General features: G+C 39.9%; 1 long non-coding RNA gene across 1 annotated transcript, besides 1 other annotated feature; it reads right to left on the minus strand.

The window, feature by feature from the left end:
- Positions 1-11,222: 11,222 nt before the first annotated feature.
- LOC107986338 (uncharacterized) lies at positions 11,223-18,726 on the minus strand. Its single transcript, XR_001741971.3, has 3 exons — positions 18,413-18,726; positions 14,826-15,104; positions 11,223-13,334 (listed from the first exon to the last, which is right to left on the minus strand). It is a non-coding gene; the product is annotated as an uncharacterized LOC107986338 (long non-coding RNA).
- Positions 14,476-15,014: an enhancer, noted in NCBI's record as "OCT4-NANOG hESC enhancer chr4:191029654-191030192 (GRCh37/hg19 assembly coordinates)". NCBI's record gives its function as "activates a minimal SCP1, AML or CMV promoter by ChIP-STARR-seq in naive H9 embryonic stem cells {active_cell/tissue: H9 hESC(naive)}" and the evidence as "EXISTENCE:reporter gene assay evidence [ECO:0000049][PMID:30033119]".
- Positions 18,727-19,490: the final 764 nt, after the last annotated feature.

A 19,490-nucleotide genomic window follows, 5' to 3' on the forward strand; every position in this document is an offset into this window, starting at 1 on the left:
AAAAAAAAAAGGCAAACGTGGCAAACAAACATATGGAAAAAAGCTCTAGATCACTGATCACTAGAGAAATGCTCATCAAAACCACAGTGAGGCACCATCTCACACCAGTCAGAATGGCTATTACTAAAAACTAAAAAACTAACAGAAGTTGGCAAGATTGCAGGGAAAAGTGAACATGTATACACCATTGGTGGGAGTGTAAGTTAATTCAACTGTGGTGGAAAGCAGTATGGTGATTCCTCAAAGAGCTAAAAGCAGAACTACAACATTTGACCTAGCAATCCCATTACTGGTTATATACCCAGATGAATATAAATCATTCTACCATGAAGTTACATGCATGCAAATGTTCATTGCAGCACTATTCACAATAGCAAAGACATAGAATCAACCCAAATACTCATCAGTCACGGATTGGATAAAGAAAATGTGCTACATATACACCATGGAATAATATGCAGCCATAAAAAAGAATGAGATTATGTCTTTTGCATTAGTATGGATGAAGCTGAAGGGTATTATCCTTAGCAAACTAACGCAGGAACAGAAAACCAAATACAGCATGTTCTAACTTATAAGTGGGAGCTAAATGATAAGAACTTGTGAACACAAAGAAGGAAACAAAAGACACTGGGGTCTACTTGATGGGGGGAGGGTGGGAGGAGGGAGAGGAGCAGAAAAGATAACTATTGGATACTGGGCCTAATACCTGGATGATGAAATAACAGGTACAACAAACCCCTGTGACACGTATTTAACTGTATAACAAACCCTCCCGTGTACCCCCTAACCTAAAATAAAAGTTAAAAAAAAAGAAACACAGCTTTTTATTTTTTTTCTTTTTAATCCCATAAAGGTCATGGGCCATTTGCCACCTGAACAGTCAGTAACACATGAGTGGAAAGAAACTGAACACCCAGGGACACCAGAGACCGTTCACTGTAGAGGAAGGAGGCAGGTATAACTCATAAGGTGATCTTCCTCCAGTCCCAGAGTTGTTCCCCTCTCCTTAAATGTGGGTCCCATGGAATTCAGACTAGGAAGTAAAGCAAATGAGAAAGGCCTACAGGGGAGCAGTTCAAATGTGTGGAAAAGGATAGAGCAGCCCCAATGAGGAAGGAAGGCTGGACAAGCAATGGATTTGTAGGGAAGACAATGTGCACCCATCGGAGCTCTGATTCCTTCATTTTCACTACCCTCCCCTGCCCACTAACATAAAAAAAGTATTGATGGCAAGTGTTGGGCCATAAGACATTTCCTTGCTTTATAATCTGGATTTGGGGGGTTACATTTCAGAGATAATGAAAATCTCCTCCTTTAGTTAACTTTTAATTTCATAATTGTAACTTTGTTTTTACAGATTTGTGAACATGTAAAACAAAGAAAACAGCATGGGAGTAATTTATAATCAACAAATATGTGTTCACTGAGTGACACTCACATGGCATATGGCATATGGGCATCCTGAGAGTAGGATCGTGGGGCATCCGATGGTGATTGTCCTTAGAGTTGGTCGGAGCCCAGCCTTCCACGGTCTGCGCACTGCTGTGTGTACAATCGGTGCCTTCTTTAAGTTCACAGCAATGCCACAAGGCAAATAGCACTGTCTTCACTTTCTGTGTGAGAGAACTAAGGCTGGGTGAGAGTATGCAGAGCTGGATCATGGATTTGTTTGGCTCCTTCTAGTTTCAAAACCTGTAAATATTTTGTTGTCTCTAATGCTAATCTTAGCACTATATTTGGAATAAGCATATAAACATATAACCACAATCCACTCAGGTAATAGGCAACCAAATTATAAATAAATGCTCAACAAGATTATGAAATGATTGAATGAGTTATATATAAGAATAATAACTGGTGGAAGTGTTATTCATAGGATAAAGTAGAAATCATTTAAATGGCTAACAGTATAAGGAGGGTTAAATCAAGCATCCAGGTGTGGAAATAGTTGATTTACATATATAGTTTATGCCATGTAAGACGTTTATGATCCAATATTGGATGAAAAAACAGAAACATTTTATGTACAGTATAATCTAAAATTTCTACATTTCATTAAAAGTGCAGGAATATAATTATCAAAATTTGAGTGATAAAATTATGAATTTTTCTTTTTCTTATAACTCATTTTATATTCACCAAAGATCCTCCAAAGAGAATATACACTTTTATAATTAGAAAAAAAGTTATTTGTTAAAGAGATCATAAATGACATAATATTTTACAGAAGTTAAAAGCTGAGATTGTGAGGATTTCCAGGGACTCCTGCCACCAGCCCATCTCGCATCATCATTTACATGGAAATGTTGGGACTGAGGTGACTTCATGCCTCTCAATTCCCAGCCAGCTTTCTCTCCCTCTGGCTCCTAGCCAGCCTGTTAACCAGAAAATAATCAGTAAGACAAAAAACACCCTAGTGTTCTAACAAGTTACACATAATTGCTTGCTTACCAATTGCCTACCTCAGAACTCTGTTTCCCTCATAGAGTCAATATAATCATTTATTTTAAATTCAGCTTCTGCCATTTTACAGTCTGAGATGCAGGACTTTGCATAGGGCATGGATGGGTTTCCACAGTCCACAGGAGGATGGGAGGAGAGCAGGGCAGATCCAGCCGCACTCAGTGAGAGTTCTGGCTGGAGTTACTTGGCTGGACCTCACTCCAGAGAGAGGAGACCTTCTTCTGGACCAGCTACCAAGACAGCCCCTAGTTGGAAAATCTTTTCTTCTAAGGTGAGATGCAGCCCCCACTGGAGAGGAAAACACCAGAGAGTATTTAAAAAGGAAAAACCAAGGTAAGCTGAGGAGATTCTTGACAGGAGACACAGCAGAGTCCACCCAGCTGGGGTGAATCTCCGCAGTTCCCCAACGGGACAGCAGGTGGGAGCCCCAAATCACTGGCCCCTGCAGCATGGGAGCAGCATGAGCCATCTGCAGTGACATTGTCTCCTCCAGCAGCAGCCTCCATCCAGAAATCCATCTCAGGGTCTGTCCTCACAGTAACCTGATGCCAGAGCTGTGCACTCAAAGTATTTGGACGCAGATATTTTGTGGAACTGAGCATTTTCCAGGTCTTGCTGGAGTTCATTCCGCGTGAACTTGATGGAGATCTTTCTCATGGGCTTCTTTATTTTTTTCACTCTTTTTTTTATTATTATACTTTAAGTTCTAGGGTACATGTGCACAACGTGCAGGTTTGTTACATATGTATACATGTGCCATGTTGGTGTGCTACACCCATTACCTCGTCATTTACATTAGGTATATCTCCTAATGCTTTCCCTCCCCCCTTCCTCCACCCCACAACAGGCCCCGGTGTGTGATGTTCCCCTTCCTGTGTCCAAGTGTTCTCATTGTTCAATTCCCACCTATGAGTGAGAACATGCAGTGTTTGGTTTCTTGTGCTTGTGATAGTTTGCTGAGAATGATGGTTTCCAGCTTCATCCATGCCCCTACAAAGGAAATGAACTCATCCTTTTTTATGGCTGCACAGTATTCCATGGTGTATATGTACCACATTTTCTTAATCCAGTCTATCATTGATGGACATTTGGGTTGGTTCCAAGTCTTTGCTGTTGTGAATAGCACTGCGATAAACATACGTGTGCATGTGTCTTTATAGCAGCATGATTTATAATCCTTTGGGTATATACCAAGTAATGGGATGGCTGGATCAAATGGTATTTCTAGTTCTAGATCCTTGAGGAATCACCATACCATCTTCTACAATGGTTGAACTAGTTTACAGTCCCACCAACAGTGTAAAAGTGTTCCTATTTCTCCACATCCTCTCCAGCACTTGTTGTTTCCTGACTTTTTAATGATCGCCATTCTAACTGGTGTGAGATGGTATCTCATTGTGGTTTTGATTTGCATTTCTCTGATGGCCAGTGATGAGCATTTTTTCACGTGTCTGTTGGCTGCACAAAATGCCTTCTTTTGAGAAGTGTCTGTTCATATCCTTTGCCCACTTCTTGATGAGGTTGTTTGTTTTATTTCTTATAAATTTGAGTTCTTTGTAGATTCTGGATATTAGTCCTTTGTCAGATGGGTAGATTGCAAAAATTTTCTCCCATTCTGTAGGTTGCCTGTTCACTCTGATGGTAGTTTCTTTTTCTGTGCAGAAGCTCTTTAGTTTAATTAGATCCCATTTGTGCATTTTGGCTTTTGTTGCCATTGCTTTCGGTGTTTTAGGCATGAAGTCCTTGCCCATGCCTATGTCCTGAATGGTATTGCCTAGGTTTTCTTCTAGGGTTTTTATGGTTTTAGGTCTAACATGTAAGTCTTTAATCCATCTTGAATTAATTTTTGTATAAAGTGTAAGGAAGGGATCCAGTTTCAGCTTTCTATGTATGGCTAGCCAGTTTTCCAAGCACCATTTATTAAATAGGGAATCCTTTCCCCATTGCTTGTTTTTGTCAGGTTTCTCAAAGATCAGATGGTTGTAGATGTGTGGTATTATTTCTGATGGCTCTGCTCTGTTCCATTGGTGTATATCTCTGTTTTGGTACCAATGCCAATCTGTTTTTGTTACTGTAGCCTTGTAGTATAGTTCGAATTCAGGTAGTGTGATGCCTCCAGGTTTGTTCTTTTGGCTTAGGATTGTCTTGGCAATGCAGACTCTTTTTTGGTTCCATATGAACTTTAAAGTAGTTTTTTCCAATTCTGCAAAGAAATTCATTGGTAGCTTGATGCAAATGGCATTGAATCTATAAATTACCTTGGGCAGTATGGCCATTTTCATGATATTGATTCTTCCTATCCATGAGCATGGAATGTTGTTCCATTTGTTTGTGTCCTCTTTTATTTCATCGAGCAGTGGTTTGTAGTTCTCCTTGAAGAAGTCCTTCACATCCCTTGTAAGTTTGATTCCTAGGTATTTTATTCTCTTTGAAGCAATTGTGAATGGGAGTTCACTCATGATTTGGCTCTCTGTTTGTCTGTTATTGGTGTATAAGAATGCTTGTGTTGTTCTACCCAAGGTCAGAGTGTGTCACTCACCACTTGATGCCACTCACAGACCACCAACTTCAGAATATCTAGGTGTAAAGCTCTGTACAAAAGTTATAACAGAATAATGTAAATAAATTATTATTTATATTACACTATTACATAATGTAAAGGCTATTAAAACATGTTTGTCTTCAAAGAATGGCCTTGGTTTCTGTGGGCAGTGTCTCCTCATGGAAAGGTAGTGCATTCCTGCTAAATCATGGACAAAACGGGCCTCCAGGAGCTGTAGGCTGCAGCAGCAGCAGCAGCAGCTTCTCATCTACATCCTTCCCTGCATGATACTGCTGTTGACTTTGAAAGCTTCTTTCAGTCTAGTTTTATCAACAGAGTTAGTATTTCATGAGGATCTACTACATACCAGGTTCCAGAAAGCTAAATGCCTTTTGTTTGTTATTACTCACTAAATACAAATCACAACTCTCTTCTCATTACTCACACAACAAAATTTAGCTGAGGGAGATTGAGTGACTTTCCCAGGGTCACACAGCTACTAAGAGCAGAGTTGTGTTTAGATTCATGTGGGAATACTGAACACTGAAAGGAGCCAGCAGAAGTATTATACATTCCAAAAGCCTACTCAAGCCATTTGTTCTTATTTTAAAGAAAATCTTTATGCTAATTTTAAACTCCAAATACTTATGAATTGCAGAGATCTACAGATTTGATTCTGATGTAAGAAATGATGCTCACCAGTTGGTTACTGCTACCACTCCACAACCCCGAGCATACTGGACAAATATCTAAGCCTCATGGTTAGTGGGGACAATGCTGGTGGAGGCTGAAGTTGTCATGCAGTGACTCACGCAAGCTTAGGCAGATTTGGTGATATATGACACAGAGATGCAAATAAATGCTGTAGCTGACACACACAGGCTGGCTCTGGGAGATGCAGAAGGAGCATGTCACCCAAAATAGAGCCAGACAGACATCTTTAAGGAAGGAGCAAAGGAGCTGCATCTTAAAGAATGAAGAAGAGATTCGTCATGAGAGATGGGACAGGAAGTTCTTGAGAGGCAGAGGGAGAGCATGAGAATGTCGGGAAGGGAGGAGAGATTCTTGCACATCTGGGAAGCTGGCAATCCATCAGCATGGCCAGAAGGAAAATAAGGAGGAGGAGCGGAAATAATAGATGAGGCTGGATATAGAAGCAGGGTTGAAGCTGTGTTGATTGTGGTAAAGAGTTGTGATTCTATCCAGAAGGCAATAGTTAGCATTCTAAACAGAGATCTTTAAAAACAAGAGTCAGCAAATATTTTCTGCGAAGGGCTAAATGTTAAATATTTTAAGTTTTCCAAGCCATGTGGTCCCTCTCTCAATGACTCAGCTCTTCCGTTATACCATGAAAGTAGCCAGAGACATTATGTAACACATGTATGTGGCTGTGTCCCATTACAACTTTTCTTACAAACGCAGACTATGTCAGACATGGCCCATGAATGGTAGTTTGCCACACCCTGTTTTAGAAAGCTCAGGTTTATGATGTGTTGGAGAATGCCTACAAGAGCTCTTGTTTTAAATGGTAGAGTGAACATACACTGGAATTCTATCCTGCTTGACCCAAGCTCTTGATAGTGAAAGGTAGAAAAGATAGATAGTAAATAGATAGATAGATGATAGGCAGGTAGATAGATGATAGATAAAGAAAATACATAGCTGTTCCAGAAAACAGAAATGGATAACTTCATGAACCAAAAACAAAGTAATATACTTTAGAAAGGAAGCAGGCCGGAAAACTCACAGTTGCAAAGCAAATAGAATTTCCAGCTGCCTCTTGTAGCCCCTTCCTGGAAGTAGTCACAGCCCAGCATGTTTTGACTTCTTCCTCTGTTTTTTGTTTGTTTGTTGTCTGCTTTTTTGTGGGGTTTTGTTGTTGTTGCTTGCTTTTTTAAAAAAAATTCCCTTTCCCTTCCTTTTTGTCACAGCAGCCTTTGTCACTTCAAACACTGCAAGTGTTCTTTTTAAAAAATTCCTCTCTTTCTCTCTCTGGAATGATATGAATTCTCTAGACCATCAGTTCTAACCTTCAAAAACCAAACTTGTTTGTGAGATCTCCTTCGAACACTACTGTAGACTCCGGTGTTTATTCATTAAGTTTTTTAAATATTTGTTTTATTTGGAATCAATTTATTTGTAATTTTAGTATTTGTATTAATATAAGGGAGAAATGTTTAAATCTGTCTATGCCATATGTGCCTCTCACTTATTGCCCAATTAATTGTAGCCTCAGGCTAAACTTTTGTTTCTGTCTTTATTTTTTTCAGAACAAAGATAACTGATCTTAAATCATCTGCTTTTATTATAGGGAATCATGCTGCCATCTCCATTCCTCTCTCTTTTCTTGCAATCTGGGTAGAAGTTCTTTAATATGAACATTTCAACCACCTTCATTCTACCATGTCCACTATCAGCACATTCAAACTTATCCAGCCAAGGCTGTCATCTTAGGCCAGGGATTTTTTTAGGAATCTATTTTGCTGTGATGTGGCTGGCACCCCTTTGACTCACTTTATCACCCCAGGATTCTTTTCATTTTAGGAGCCCAAGAGGGCAGAAAAAGAAGCAGGTGAGCAATTAAACCCTCTGAGTCAGGAGCATCTCCCCTTGTGTTAAGCAATGATGTAGAACATTGTATTTAGTAAGCTCCTAGCACATGAGCCACATGGCTGCTGAACACACATGCCCGCTTGTGGCTGTGAGCTCAGACACCATCATCATTAGTCTTTTCCACCCCTGGAAGGAATTATAAGGGCCACTTCATAACCTGTAAATCATAGAGAGTTAAAGGTGTTTCCCCAAAACACTGATGACAGAATGAAAGGTGAGGAGTGTTAACCATAGGTCAAAAGTGCAGGAAAGTCTCTCAATGTGGGTTGTTGAAGAAATGCAGGTCTTTTTTCTTTTGGAAGTCTCCCTAGAATGGGATCAAGGACTCTGCCCACTCTAGGATGAAAAATTGGGATATTAGACACCCTCAGATATTTATCCCAAGCCTTCATTTTGGGCTCTTAATTAGTTTGTTCAACCATCACAATCTCAAATGCTAAGCAGGGCATTTGAATCTCTCCACAGTCCAAATCAGCACCATCTTTTGAAGTTGAGTTTCTCATTATTCTCACCTGATATACCTTATTTATCCCACACTCACCCTAATAACATATTGTGCTCACTGTTATCTTTGAGACAACACTTGAGTTTTACTCAGCCTGCAGTGCTCTTCACATGTCTTGTCCAGATCCAGTTCAGACTCATTCTTCAGCCCTGCATCAGTCAATGGGGGCTAGGTTAAACTGTGGTGACAAACAACCTCCAAATTTCAGTGGTTCAAAAATCTTTTTCCTCATTTATTTACATCTCATCATGGGTCAGATGTGAGGTAGCTCTGTGCTGTGTCATCCTAACACAGGAATCCAGACGGAAGGAGGGACCATCAATAAGATCCCCATTGCTATAGAAAAAAGAAAAAAGCATGCGGAATAGAACTCTGTTTCTTGGAGATTTCTTCTGAAAAAGTCACATGTTATTTCTTCTCACCTCCGTTGGCAAAAAACAAACAAACAAACAAAAAAGTCATGTGGCCATGGGAAAATTTAAGTAGGTGGGATGGAACAGTCAGAATGCATTCACAAACAAATGAACTGAAAATATTTGGAGAACAGCACCAATGACTATCATGAATGCAAACATGCATCCCTAACAACCCGGTGCTATTTCCCTCCAAACTTTTTATGTCTTGCAAAGTATTAGAACTGCATATCTGAAGCCATACCACTCAGAGGGAATGCAAAATACATAATGACATCTCCTTTAGGATATCCTTAGAGAATTCAAGGAAAAGAAGTTAAACAGTTTAAAAGTGCTGTTGGATACAGCTATTTAGCACTAGAGGGTAAGATTAGAGATAGATCGTAAAGATAATAATAGGGTTAGGGTTAGGGTTAGGATTAGGATCTGGGTCAGAGTCAGGGCCAGAAATATGGTTAGAGGTGGGGTCAAGGTCAGGGTCAAGATCAAAATCAGGGTCAAAGTAAGGGTGAGAATTGGGGCCCAGGGTAGGGATCAGTGTTTAGGTTCAGGGTCAAAGTCTTGGGACAGGGTTAGGGTTAGGATTAGAACCAGAGCTTTGTTCTCCTCAGGACCCACCCGAGGGTGGGTCACCATGGCTTTGGAGCACCTGGTAGTGTAGCATGTCTACAGTGAAGACCAGAGTTTCATTGTCCTTAAGACTGACCTGGGCAGACGTGGCTGCTGGCCATTGAGGAAGGTGAGGCAAAAGCTTCCTGTCTGCTCCCCATGTGCTGAGGAGGGAGCTCTGCCATGGGCTTTACTTTCACATGTTTTATTCTACAAGTCTTGTTTTACAAAAGCATCCTTTCCTTGAGGCTTCGGCTGCTCATCGCTTCTCATCACCATAGCGTGCCATAACATATGGTAAGATTTGGGCTTGTTTCTGGGGAGAGATCTTGGTATAGAGACAGGGGAAATGCTTAGAGCCACCATCAGAAGAGTTGGGATGAAAGCTGGGGATGGGCAGAGGCTGGAGGAAACATGTGCACCCCCTGTAAACACTTTTATTCATGTTTTAGTTGCTCATTTTTCTTACAGTGTTAAAGTAGTAAAAATAGTATTGAAAAATTGAAAAGTAGGCATATTAAAACTTGCAACATTATTTAAGTTTAAATATATTGTTGGTACCTCATCATTTTTTATTTTGTTGAGAAAGTCTAAGGTTAATTGGCAGCATAGTTGTAATAGTAGACAGAATAATGTCTGTTTTATAAACATTGACATACTATATTACATGTATGAACCCTGAAAATCTGAAACAGCTCTCGGATTTTTTAGAAAGTTTACTTGCCAAGTTTGAGGATGCGCCCCCATGATGCCTCCTCAGGAAGTCCTGACAACATGGGCCCAAGGTGGTCGAGGCACAGCTTGGTTTTATACACTTTAGGGAGACATGAGACATCAATCAATATGTGCAAGATGTACATTGGTTCAGTCCAGAAAGGTGAGAAGGCCAGACAGGGGGCTTCCAGGTCATAAGTAGGTAAGAGACAAATGGTTTCATTCTTTTGCTTTGCTGATTACCCTCTCCAAATGAGGCAATCAGATATGCATTTGTCTCGGTGAGCAGATGGGTGACTTTGGATAGAATGGGAGGCAGATTTGCCCTAAGCAGTTCCCAGCTTGACTTTTCCCTTTAGCTTAGCGATTTTGGGTCCCCAAGATTTATTTTCCCTTCACAAGGTCTAACATGTTTTCCTATGAGCATTAATTATTTATTGTGTATTTTATTACACAAATAAGGCAAAGATTTTTAAAAAATCATCAACTTCATGCCTAGCTACATAGACATAATTACACAGAAGCTCAACTAAATTTGCAAACATTCCAGAGTTTGGGTTTCCAATAATTCTTAGTGATTCTTTAAAAGGTAAAGTATTTTTTTCCCATAAAACATAGCAACATCTAAAATCACCCGTAGAACGTCCTGCCATTTTTGTTTCTTTAGTTTCCTCATTTTCTGCAAAGCCTCGCTGAGGAAATTGACTTTGAATATCCTTTTACACTCTTATTTTTAGAAAGCATTGTGGTAAAACATTGAATCATCATGGTTGTAAGTTCTGTTCACATTCTTTCTTTCTTTGAATATTTTTTCCCAATGGCCAATATTTGATTCTGTTGTATTATGGCTAAAAGGTAGGCATGGGAACAAAGTAAAGACAAGAAGTCTTTAGAATAAGTGATCCCATCACAATGAATCAATTTGCCATTGGAACATATTTTTACAGTCACTCTTTTGAAAATATTTAGCCATGAATTGAAACAGATCCTGTAAGTTTATTTTTTTTCCTGGTCTAAGGTGATCAGCATTTTAGAGAATGAACCAGGACACAACCATAGCACAAGACAAAAATACGATAATTAAGTTTACACATATGTGTTACTACTGTAACAGAAAACATATACAGAGCGTTTGTTTTGATTTATATATCAGTCTGCACTGTTTAATTTTTTGTGTCATAAATGCTCTTATTTAAAAAAACAGGACTAGTTAACAGTGTCAATTACTAGTAATTCACGGTATAAATAATTAAGCAAGGAAGCATTAAAAAATATAAAAAGGTTTTAAATAAAGTTTTATTTTACATCTTTTTTTTTTACTTACACAGAAATTACCAAAAAAAAAAAAAAAAAGCAGAGATTTCCCATGTAGCCACAACCTAGTTTCCTCTCATTAACATCTTCTATCAGTGTGTCTCACATGGCTTATTAATATCTTACATAATTTGTCACAGTTAATGAACCAATACTGATAGACTATTATTAACTAAAGTTCACATTTCATTTGGACTCCCTTAGGTCTGTCTTACTCTGACCCAGGATCCCATCCAGGATCCCGCACGACATGTAGTCATCACATAGGCTCTTCCTGGCTGTGACAGTGTGTCAGGCTTTCCATCTCATGATGACCTTGACAGTACTGAGGAGGATTGGTCAGGAATTTTGTAGAATGTCCCCCATTTTCACTTCATGTTCTCAAGGTAAACTGTCATTTTTGATGTTCACTTGGATCATTTGGCAGAGCTACTGTTTGTCAGGTTTCTCCACTGTGAAGTTATTTTTCCTCCTTGTCCATACTGCATGTGTTCTTTTGGAGCAAGTCACTATGCAGAGCCCACACTCATGGAGTGAGGAGTTGGCTCCACCTTCCTGATGGCTGAGTGTCTACATCAATTATTTGGAATTCTTTTGCAAAGGAGATTTCTATGCAACTCCATTAGCTTATTCACCTATGTATACAAATACAGACACCTAGATAATTACTTTAAGCTTCAGTTATTATTCAACACTGCAGCATTGTGTTGCACAATTCATTCCTGTGTTGGCCTTCGGTAGCTGTTATTATTGGCTCTTATTTTTCTTTGATATATTTTAATTTTTTTTAGTACTTACTTTCTGATACTTCAAGATTATCCTGGCTCCTATATTTACTGTCCCAGTTCTAGTATCAGACATTTCTTCAAAGAGCCTGATTCCTTTCAGAATGGTAGGAAAACTTACATCTGGCTGTTGAATTAGCACATTGTATCTTGTCCCTCATTAGCAATGCTAGGAAGTATATGTGTGTGTCTAACCTACCTATACACACCTGATTATAAAGTTTTCTATGTAGAACTGTGTGTATCTATATTAAACTAAACATAAGTTTATGTTTGAAGGGGTGGCCTGGCCCTCCACATCTGTGGGTATATCTCATCAGGTGGGATGAGAGACTGAGAAAAGAAATAAGATACAAGACAAACTATAGAGAAAGAATAGTGGGCCCAGGGGACCTGCACTCAGCATACCAAGGACCTGCACCAGCACCGGTCTCTGAGTTCCCTCAGTTTTTATTGATTATTATTTTCATTATCTCAGCAAGAGGAATGCAGTAGGAGAGCAGGGTGATAATAAGGAGAAGGTCAGCAAAAAAACACGTGAGCAAAAGAATCTATATCATAATTAAGTTCAAGGGGAGGTACTATGCCTGGATGTACACGTGGGCCAGATTTATGTTTCTTCCCACCCAAACATCTCAGTGGAGTAAAGAATAACGAGGCAGCATTGCTGCCAACATGTCTCGCCTCCCACCATAGGGCAGTTTTCCTCCTATCTCAGAATTGAACATATGTACAATCGGGTTTTATACCGAGACATTAAGTTCCCAGGGGCAGGCAGGAAACAGTGGCCTTCCTCTATCTCAACTGCAAGTGGCTTTCCTCTTTTACTAATCCACCTCAGCACAGACCCTTTACAGGTGTCAGGCTGGGGGACAGTCCGGTCTTTCTCATCCCATGTGGCCACATTTCAGACTATCACATGGGGACAAACCTTGGACAATACCCGGCTTTCCAGGGCAGAGGTCCCTGTGGCTTTTTGCAGTGCATTGTGCCCCTGGTTTATTGAGACTAGAGAATGGCAATGAGTTTTACCAAGCATACTGCTTGTAAATATTTTGTTAGCAAGGCACATCCTGCCCAGCCCTAGATCTCTTAAACCTTGATTCCATATAACACATGTTTTTGTGAGCTCAAAGTTGGGGCAAAGTGGCTGGGGCAAAGTTACAAATTAACAGCATCTCAGCAAAACAATTTTTCAAGGTACAGATCAAAATGGAATTTCTTATGTCTTCCCTTTCTACATAGACACAGTAACAGTCTGATCTCTCTTTTCCCTACATATCCCCCTTTTCTTTTTGACAAAACTGCCATGGTCATCATGGTCCATTCTCACTGGTCACTGTCTCTCCAGAGCTGCTGGATACACCTGTAGACTAACAACAGAGAGAACGGACATACAAGGATTAATACAAAAATTTCAATGGTGGAACTTCCAATGTTTTCAACCCAAGTGGCAGGGTTAAGATTTGTGAGGCTATCAACAGCTTTCATGATTGCCTCAGTTTCTGGTACCAGATTTAACTGGGCTTTTGATGCCTCAAAAATTTGTTCTTTTAATTTTGAAATCTCTAAGGTAAGATTATCTTCTCTTCCTTGTAGATGGCATCTCACCATGTCCTAGTGATGTTCAGATTCATTATAAGCTCGAGGTGTAATACAAAAATCTGATGTATTCCAGTCACACTGTAACTGAAAAAGGTATTCCAAGCTCATGAGCCTATCTCCAATCCAAATTACAGTTTGTCTAAGATCATTAATTTGGTTTGCCAATTTTTGATCTATTTGGGTATGAGAATTCCACAATTTTGAGGAATTCTTTTGCCAATTATTCACATATTCTGCAGTTTGAACAGAGGAGTGTAAAGCAATTCCAGCAGCCGCAGCAGTAGCTGTGATAAGACCCATAATCACTGCAATCAAAGTAAAAATGAATCTTTTGGATCTAGTTAGAACTCCTTTTAATACTTCTGTTAAAATATGGATGGATGGGGAACCCTCCCACTGTTGGTCCATGGACACAGGGATCCCCACGCCCTCTCTTGCCCTCACTAGCAGAATACAGTGTTGCCAATCCAAAGTTGAATCAATGCAAGTAAACAATCTACAATTTTCACAGGTTATAGTTTGGGAATCTGGTTTAATAACTCTGTTTCCTACAACTAGCATATAAGGGGGTTTTACACACCCCATTTCCATGGATAGAGTGATTCTAACCTACTATAAACCTGGTCCAGCCTTTCATAGGCCAGATTAATGGGCCAGATGGATGGGACCTGTCAACATGGTTGAGTCTGGCCTGCACAACTATGATATAATTGGCCTCAAGGAGCCCAGTTTATAATAGTTCCAAATTCATTGTTTTGTAGTACCACTGCAGTATCAGCCACACATTCTTCCCAAACTAGGACTTCTGGGCTTTTTGATTCTTTGGGAATTTCCTTGGGGCAAGGCTTCCCCTTAGGCCTAGATTGTAATGATCTTTGATAAGAAAAATCCTGTAAATTATTTATCTGTGGCCTGAGTGACATTCCACTTACCATGTGATAAGTAAATCTGCTGATGGCACTGACAGTAGGTACTTCTACCAACCAATTTTGGGTTGTAGGTATTAAGCATCCTGGTGCTTTCCCCAGGCAAATAGGAGGATAATGATACCCAATGGAAATGTTTATCATCATTCCTTCTTCTTCAGGTTGGGCAGGGCCACGGTCATCTGTGGGGCCTGGTACCCATGCACTATTATTAACATATACTTCAATAGGATTATCTATCCAAGTGACTGTCCGAATTAAGGGTGGGAAAGGCACATAGGCCAAGTAAGTATAATTAGCTGCAGCTGCTCCTGCAGACATAGGGAGACTTACCACCGTTGGTACAATCATTAAAGCTGCAAGCAGCATATTCTCTGGAGTTTGTGTTAACCTTGTATTCTTCAGGCTTTTTTTCAGCTAACTGTGTCAGCTTCTTTAGCTGGGCCCAGGTCAGCAGCTCCACTTTCTTGGTGGATGGCAACTTCATCTGTTCTTCTGATATCACCATTTTGTTCACCTGGCGAGTCGATGGTGCTCCATTGCGGGTTTTCCATCTCCACGGAGGCACTTTTCTTTGCATCTCTGATGGGTTCATTGTAGAATTTCAAATGTCTAGTGGGTATCCAAACAGGAAGCTGATTTTCTCCTGGTGAAACACAAGCAAAACCTCTCCCACATGTTATCACCTTACCTATTTCTCATGTCTTATTTTTGATCTTTCCACCAAATCAGTTTTCCCTCATGTGGGCTGTTCTTTTTACCAGTAAAATGTTGTTCTGCAGAAGTAGTGGTCTTATTTCTATAAATGTTTAAAAAAATTAAAGTATAGAGTGCTAGATTAAGTTGCATCTGGGGAGTGTTATACTCCTTACTCTCTTTTTCCTTTTTTGTTTAACAAATTGAGCTTTGAGTGTCCTATTATTTCTTTCAATTATGGCCTGTCCTTGGGAATTATAAGGGATTCCTGTTGTATGTGTAATTTTCCACTGATTTAAGAATTTTTGGAATGCTTTACTATAGTAGCCTGGTCCATTATCTGTTTTAATTTTTTCTGGAACTCCCATGACAGCAAAACAAGATAATAAATGTCTTTTAACATGGGAAGTACATTTTCTGTCTAGCAGGTTGCCCATATGAAATGTGAACAAGTATCAACCATCACATGGACAAATGACAATTTTCCAAATGAAGGTACATGTGTGACATCCATTTGCCATAATGCATTAGGACATAAACCTCTGGGATTAAGTCCTGCCTCCTGAGTGGGCAGGTGTAGGACTTGACACTCAGTACAATGTTGTACAATATTTTTTGCCTGTTTCCATGTGATATCAAATTTATTTTTTAATCCTGTTGCATTTACATGAGTCAGAGCATGACGTTCTTGTGCTTCCATGAAGGCAGATGATACTAGCAAGTCAGCTTGTTCATTTCCCTTAGTTAAGGCCCTGGTAAATTAGTATGTGCTTGAATATGAGTAATATAAAATGGGAAATTTCTTTTTCTTACAGTTTATTGTAAAAAATTAAACAGCTGATTCAACTGATCATCCATACTACATTTGATTAGGGCTGTCTCAACATCCTTTGTAGCCTGTACTACATATGCAGAATCTGAAACAATGTTAATAGGCTGATTAAAATCTTGTAACACTGAAATAACAGCAACCAATTCTGCTCTTTGAGCTGAGTGATATTGAGTTTCAATGATTCATTCTTTTGGCCTGGGGTAAGCCATTTTTCCATTGCTGGAACCATCAGTAAACACCATCAGAGCATTTTCTAAAGGTTTATGTCTGGTAATTTTAGGTAAAATCCAAGTAGTCAATTTTGAAAACTGGAAGATTTTTGTTCTTGGGTAATGATGATCAACAATTCCCACAAAAGCAGCAAGACCAATCTGCCATGCAGCAGAATTGATAAAGGCTTGTCTAACCTGTTCCTTGTTTAAAGGAACAATGATTTTATCTGGGTCACTTCCACACAATTTTACTATTCGTAGTCTTCCCTGACCAATTAATGTAGCCATTTGATCTAAGTACAATGTAAAAGTCTTAATTGTACTGTGAGGAAAGAATGACCACTCCACAAGATCTGTATTTTGAACAATAATGCCTGTTGGAGAATGTACAGTAGCAAAAATCAAAAGTTGGAGTGGGGCTAAGTGATCTATTCTATTTACTTGTGCTGACGGAATTTTTTCTTCAACTAATTCAATTTCCTTAGCTGCCTCTGGAGTTAATGTTCTTTTACTATTCAAGTCTGGATACCCTCTCAAGATAGAGAACAAATTCGACATGGCATAAGTAGGGATGCCTAGAGTTGGCCGAATCCAATTAATATCTCCTAGCAATTTTTGAAAGTCATTTAATGTTCTTAATGTGTCTTTTCTTATTTCTATTTGTTGTGGTTTAATTTTTCTTTCCTCTACTTGCATTCCCAAATAATGAAAAGGAGTAGAGGTCTGAATCTGCGTTTGCAACCTCTGCAGAAATGTGTAACAGTCAATTAATTTGCCTCTTGTTTCTGCAGCACACAAAATATCAACATAATGAATGACATAACAGTCTGAAAACTTGTCTCTAACTGGTTGAAGAACTTGAGCTACAAAAGTCTGACAAATAATTGGACTATTAAGCATTCCCTGAGGCAACACTTTCCACTGAAATCTGGTGGCTGGTTCTTTATTATTTATGGCTGGTATAGTAAAAGCAAATTTTTCAAAATCCTGTTTTGCCAGAGAAATGGTAAAAAAGCAATCCTTCAGATCAATTATAATTAAAGGAGATCGTGGCTGGAGAGGGCAACACGGGTTGGAGAGGCCTCATAGGTTGAATTACTGCATTAATGGCTCTTAAGTCAGTTAGCATGCGCCATCTGCCTGATTTTTTCTGAATTACAAAAACAGGAGAATTCTAAAGACAGAAAGTGGGTGAAACATGTCCTTTATAAAATAGCTTTTTAACTATTTTATGTAGCACCCCCAACTTTTCCTTAGGGAGCGGCCACTGTTTGACCTATACAGGAAGCTGCAGGGTGAGTCTGAATTGCTCCTTCACCACAGTGAACTGTAGGTTGGACAATAATGAGTGCCTCGAGCCAAGTCGCAGCAAGCCTAGTTTCAGGCTCCCTCCCCCAGAAGTCACTGGGCTGAGGAGGAGGTGGCCATCATGCTTTTAGCCCCAATGGCCCCGATGGTTCTGGACTTTTTCCTTTTAATTTTAATGTTTCAGGATATATTACCTCCTGTAATTGATTGTAGTCAACATTTTGCATTGACCGAGCCATTACCGGCTCTGCTACATATTTACAATATGAACTTTCCATTCATTTCCTAGATTTTGTCCCCGCCTCTTCACAATCTATTACACAGCTTTCAGAGGCAGCAGAAACTGAAATGCTGTCTTCTTCTACTTGAAACCATTCTAAAGTTGCTTTAACAATGGCCCAGCATCGCAGCGGGCGCCTGTAGTCCCAGCTACTCGGGAGGCTGAGGCAGGAGAATGGCGTGAGCCCAGGAGGCAGAGCTTGCAGTGAGCTGAGATCGCGCCACTACACTCCAGCCTGGGCGACAGAGCGAGACTCTGTCTCAAAATAAATAAATAAATAAATAAATAAATAAATAAATAAATAAATAAAAAATAATGGCCCAATCATTCCATACTGTAAGTGGGATGGTTTTACCTTCCCTACTTGCTTAATTCTTTGCCAATTTTTCCCAGTCTTTTAAATCTAAAGTTCCCTGTTCTGGAAACCATGGGCAGAATCGTTCTATTGTTTGAAATAGTGTAATTAGATTTTCTGTAGAAGCTTTAACTCCCCCTCTTCTTAAGAGAATTTTGATGAAGCTGAGATAAGAGGCATATTTACTTTCAGTTTGCCCCATTGTTACCCTGGGTTTCTCTGAGCGCACAAGCTTACCGCAAGGCTGATGGTGGATGTACTCAGGAATCTCTCGACTGTCCTCAATGCTCACATTCTTAGCATACCTTCATCCTAGAGAAAGGCACCCACATTGGGTGGCAGATGAAGGGGTGGCCTGCTCCTCCACACCTGTGGGTATATCTCGTCAGATGGGATGAGAGACTGAGAAAAAAAATAAGACTCAGAGACAAAGTATAGAGAAAGAAAAGTGGGGCCAGGGGACTGGCTCTCAGCATACCAAGGACATGCACCAGCACCGGTCTCTGAGTTCCCTCAGTTTTTATTGATTATTATTTTCATTATCTCAGCAAGAGGAATGCTGTAGGAGAGCAGGGTGATAATAAGGAGGAGGTCAGCAAAAAAACATGTGAGCAAAAGAATCTATGTCATAATTAAGTTCAAGGGTAGGTACTATGCCTGGATGTGCATGTAGGCCAGATTTATGTTACTGTCCACCCAAACATTTCAGTGGAGTAAAGAATAACTAGACAGCATTGCTGCCAACATGTCTCACCTCCCACCATAGGGTGGTTTTCCTCCTATCTCAGAATTGAACAGGTGTACAATCGGGTTTTATACCGAGACATCAAGTTCCCAGGGGCAGGCAGGAAATGGTGGCCTTCCTCTATCTCAACTGCAAGAGGCTTTCCTCTTTTACTAATCCACCTCAGCACAGACCCTTTATGGGTGTCAGGCTGGGGGATGGTCAAGTCTTTCTTATCCCATGAGGCCACATTTCAGACTATCACATGGGGACAAACCTTGGACAATACCCGGCTTTCCAGGGCAGAGGTCCCTGTGGCTTTTTGCAGTGCATTGTGCCCCTGGTTTATTGAGACTAGAGAATGGCAATGAGTTTTACCAAGCATACTGCTTGTAAATATTTTGTTAACAAGGCACATCCTGCACAGCCCTAGATCCCTTAAACCTTGATTCCATATAACACATGTTTTTGTGAGCTCAAAGTTGGGGCAAAGTGGCTGGGGCAAAGTTACAAATTAACAGCATCTCAGCAAAGAAATTTTTCAAGGTACAGATCAAAATGGAATTTCTTATGTCTTCCCTTTCTACATGG

Source organism: Homo sapiens, chromosome 4, assembly GCF_000001405.40.
Source record: "Homo sapiens chromosome 4, GRCh38.p14 Primary Assembly".
Taxonomy (NCBI): Eukaryota; Metazoa; Chordata; class Mammalia; order Primates; family Hominidae; genus Homo; species Homo sapiens.